Raw genomic sequence first — 4,988 nt, 5'->3', positions numbered from 1 at the left:
AGCAGCCAAGTTTCCATTAGCCAAAAGAGACGCCCATCACTCTGTCCCTCCCCCAGAGGAGAACCCGCCCTCCAAAACTTCCAATTGGCTAACTAAGAAGAGGCTGTCCCAAATGGGTTGGGGGAGGCACCTAACGTCGGGCTCTTCTCTAATCACTACTGGCTAATAATGCTGCCAGTCATACAAAAAGGTTGTTCCCCAGAGTGGAAGGGAAAGAATCCCGGAAGTAGCCCCTTGACTCCACCTATTACCCCCTGCGGGAGGGTAGGCCGCGCCCACGTGGTGGGGAGGGCCTGGAAGGGAGAGCCGGGTGTGCATGCGCATGGGGAGATAGTGGCCGCGGCTCCGGAAACTGGGGAGTGGTCTCAGCATAAAGACAGGTTGAGATTTGTCATCGCTTGGTGCATTCCAAACCTGCACTAAGCATTTTGCAGGACTTGGCTTATTTAAACTTTATAACAGCCCTGCAAAGTTATTATGATTTCCATTTTACCACTAAGAAAACAGTCTCAGAGAGGTATAGCCACTAGCCCGGGTTCACACGGCTTTTGAACGACCCATATTTTAAACCGATCAGTCATGAACTGGAAGGATCCAGCTAAAGGAATTGAGCGCGGGGATGGGGGAGGAGGGACCTCTTTAAGAAAGGAAAATAAAGTTTAAAGAAAAAAAAAAACTGACATGAAAGTTTACTTAGAATATGAAATAATAACAAATTACATATTTAAAAGAGCCAAATACCACAAACATTGCAAAATCCCAAAGGATAACGTAATGTTTTTATTAATTTTCTGCCTGACACACCTCTGTGATGTTTCCTACTTTTTCAGCTGCATGTTTCACAATATCCTTGTCTACAAAGAGAAAAGTAAGTTATCTTTCCTCTAGCGTGGTTGATGGAACTTTTTAAAAATTCATTATAATTTAGAACAAGTTTCAGCTTCACAAATCAGTATTGGTGATGTTATTGAAGTCTTTTGGAAATCTAGAAAAACTTCTGGCCAGGCGCGGTGGCTCACACCTGTAATCCCAGCACTTTGGGAATCACGAGGTCAGGAGTTCGAGACCAGCCTGAACCACCTGGTGAAACCCTGTCTCTACTAAAAATATAAAAAATTAGCTGGGCGCAGTAGCGGACGCCTGTAATCCCAGCTACTCAGGAGGCTGAGGCAGGAGAATCACTTGAACTCGGGAGGCGGAGGTTGCAGTGAGCCAAGATCGTGCCACTGCACGCCAGCCTGGGCAACAGAGTGAGATGCCACCTCCAAAAAAAAAAAAAGAAAAACTTTCATAAAGTTTCATTCACATGTTAACTATGTTTTGGAAAATGTTTCCACAGACTAACTTCTGGCTCAATACTTTCAATTTTTTGTTTGTTGGTTTCTTTGTTTGCTGAGACAGGGTCTCGCTTCATCGCTGGGCTGGAGTGCAGTGGCATGTTCATGGCTCACTGCAGCCTTGAACTCCTGAGCTGAAGTGATCCTCCTGCCTTACCCTCCCAGGTAGCTGGTACTACAGGCACACGCCATCACATCTGGCTAATTTTTTTTTAATTTATTTTTAGTACACATGGGGTTTCACTATGTTGCCCAGGCTGGTCTCGAACTCCTGAGTTCAAGCAGTCCTCCCACCTCAGCCTCCCAAAATGCTGGGATTACAGGTGTGAGCCACCGCGCAGGCTTCCTTTCAATTCCTGACATTTCTGTTACACAGATGCTTCTGGAATGAGCCGCTAAAAGATACATTCATGCCATTTAGTAGGCTGTGGCCTCGCATCTAGTGAGTTAGTAACTTACACAACAGAAGCATTCCGGGAAGCCATTTCTACGCCATGACAACTAATTAGGTGGTTTAAGTATCCGAGAAGTATCTATGAACCACATAAAAATATCCCTGTAAACCCAATCTAAATGTATTCTCACTTCACCTTCCCCTCAGCTAAATCCCATAAATGCCTGCACTCCAGCTTGAGTGACAGAGCAAGACTCTGTCTCTAAGAAAATAATTAATAAATAAATAACAATTAAAAAAAAAGGAAACATGGATTAGAATCTGAAGGCTTTCCCTTGCCAGCTGTGAGACCTCCCACAAGTCATGCCTCTTCTGGGAACTTCACTTTCTTCATCTGTAAGTGGAGTTCAATTCATTGCTTCACTTATTTCTTCACTCACTTGTCAGGCCATTTATTGAGCACCTGCTATGTTCCAGGCACTTTTCTGGGTGCTGGAGGTAGAAACATCTGGTAACAAACAGGAAAAGCTCATACCCTAGTGAAAGGAAGGCAAATAATAACATATAGTAAAGAAATAGGCCAGGCGCGGTGGCTCACGCCTGTAATCCCAGCACTTTGGGAGGCCAAGGCAGGCGGATCACCTGAGGTCAGGAGTTCAAGACCAGCCTGGCCAACATGGCAAAATTCTGTCTCTACTAAAACTACAAAACTTAGTTGGGCATGGCGGTGCATGCCCGTAATCCCAGCTGCTTGGGAGGCTGAGGCAGGAGAATCGCTTGAACCCGGAAGGCAGAGGTTGCAGTGAGCTGAGATCAGGCCACTACACTCCAGACTGGGCCACAGAGCGAGACTCCATCTCAAAAAAAAGAAAAAAAAAAAAAAGAAAGAAAGAAATGTCCAGGTCCGGGGTGATAAGTGCTACAGAGAAAATAAAGCAGAGTGAAGTGGATGGAACTGGGGGTTAGAGGGGTGGGAAGATGTCTCAGAAAAGCTGATTTAGAGCAGAGACCTGAAGCAAGTGACTGAGCCAGGAATTTATTTATTCATTTATTTATTTTGGAGAGAGAGCCTCACTCTGTCGCCCAGGCTGGAGTGCAGTGGCGCCTGACTCACTGCACCCTCCACCTCCCAAAGTCAAGCAATTCTCCTGCCTCAGCCTCCTGAGTAGCTGGGATTACAGGTGCCTGCCACCAGGCCTGGCTAATTTTTTTGTATTTTTAGTAGAGATGGGGTTTCACCGTGTTGGCCAGGCTGGTCTTGAACTCCTGACCTCAAGTGATCCACCTATCTCAGCCTCCCAAAGTGCTGGAATTACAGGTGTGAGCCACCACACCCAGCCTATTTATTTTTTTTATTTTTATTTTTATTTATTTATTTATTTATTTTTGAGATGGAGTCTCGCTCTGTGGCCCAGACTGGAGGTGCAATGGCGTGATCTCAGCTTACTGCAACCTCCACCTCCTGGGTTCAAGCAATTCTCCTGCCTCAGCCTCCCAAGTAGCTGGGATTACAGGCACATGCCACCATGCCTGGCTAATTTTTGTATTTTCAGTAGAGATGGGGTTTCACCATGTTGGCCAGGCTGCTCTCGAACTCCTGAGCTCATGTGATCCACCCGCCTCGGGCTCCCAAAGTGATGGGATTACAGGCGTGAGCCACCGCTCCTGGCCAAGCCAGCCTTGAGGGTACCAAGGTGGACCATTGCAAGAAGATGAGACAGTGAGTACAAAGGCCCTGTAGTGGGAACATGCCTGGTGTTTCTAAGAAACAGCAAAGACATCAATATTGAGTGTGTGGAGTGTGACAGAAGATGATGTCTGGGAGGATGCCTGAGACCAGGTTATATAAGGCCTTGTCGGCCCTTGTGAGGCCTTTTGTTTTACTCTGAGTGAGGTGGGAGCCATCGAAGGTATTAGGCAGAGAGGACATAATTTTACTCATGTCTTTTTTTGTTTTTTTTTTGAATCAGGGTCTCACTTTGTCACCCAGGCTGGAGTGCAGTGGCTCCATCTCGGCTTACTGAAACCTCAGCCTCCCTGTTTCAAGCAATCCTCCTGCCTCAACCCCGCGAGTAGCAGGATTACAGGCATGCACCACCACACCTGGCTAACTTTTGTATTGTTAGTAGAGACGAGGTTTCGCCATGTTACCCAGGCTGGTCTGGAACGCCTGAGTTCAAGCAATCCACCCGCCTCAGCCTCCCAAAGTACTAGGATTACAGGGGTGAGCCCCACCGCCTGGCCTACTCATTCATGTCTTCAATGATCATTATGGTGGCTGCATTAAGAATAGGCTGTTAGCTACTCGGGAGGTTGAGGCAGGTGGATTGTTTGAGGACAGGAGTTCGACACTGCACTCCAGCCTGTGAGAACCGATCTCTAAAAATAAAAATTTAAATTAAAAAACTTAGGCTGTTAAAATAATGTGGACATGGAAAACAGCCAGTTTCTCAGAAAGTTAAACAGAATTAACACATGACCCAGCAATTACACTCCTAGGTGTATACCTGGGAATTAAAAACTGGTATTCAAATACTTGTACATGGATGTTCATAACAGCATTATTCACAATAGCTAAAAGGTGGAAACAACCCAAATGTCCATAAATCTATGAGCAGATAAGGCCAGGTGCAGTGGCATGCCTGTAATCTCAGCACTTTGGGAGGCCGGGGCAGGCGGATCACCTGAGGTCAGACGTTCGAGACCAGCGTGGCCAACATGGCAAAACCATATTAGTCTCTACTAAAAATACAAAATTAGCCAGGCATGGAGGCGCATGCCTGTAATCCCAGCTACTCAGGAGGCTGAGGCAGGAGAATTGCTTGAACCCGGGAGGCGGAGGTTGCGGCAAGCCAATATCGCGCTACTGCACTCGAGCCTGGGCAACAGAGCAAGACTCCATCTCAAAAACAAAAGAAAAAGAGAAAAGAAATGAAGTGCTGATAGATGCTACAACATGGATAATAAACCTTGAAAACATGATGCTAAGTGAAAGAAGACAAACACAAAAGGTCACATAGTGTATGATTCCATTTATATGAAGTGTCCAGAAGAGGCAAGTCCACAGAGACAGAAAATAGTGTTGTGGTGCCAGAGGCTGGGGGAAGGAGCGAATGGGTAATCACTGTTTAATGGGTGTGAGGTCTCCTTTGGGGGGTGATGAAATGTTTTGGAACTAGATGGAGGTGATGATTGCACAACATTATGAACGTACTAAATGCCACTGAATTGCTCACTTTAAAATGGTTAATTTTCTG

General features: G+C 46.0%; 1 annotated feature.

The window, feature by feature from the left end:
• Nucleotides 391–580: an enhancer, noted in NCBI's record as "active region_14832". NCBI's record gives its function as "activates an Ori minimal core promoter by ATAC-STARR-seq in GM12878 lymphoblastoid cells {active_cell/tissue: GM12878}" and the evidence as "EXISTENCE:reporter gene assay evidence [ECO:0000049][PMID:35858748]".

The sequence above is a fragment of the Homo sapiens genome, chromosome 19 (genome assembly GCF_000001405.40).
Source record: "Homo sapiens chromosome 19, GRCh38.p14 Primary Assembly".
Classification (NCBI taxonomy): domain Eukaryota; kingdom Metazoa; phylum Chordata; class Mammalia; order Primates; family Hominidae; genus Homo; species Homo sapiens.
This window is presented reverse-complemented; position numbering and strand designations above follow the sequence as displayed.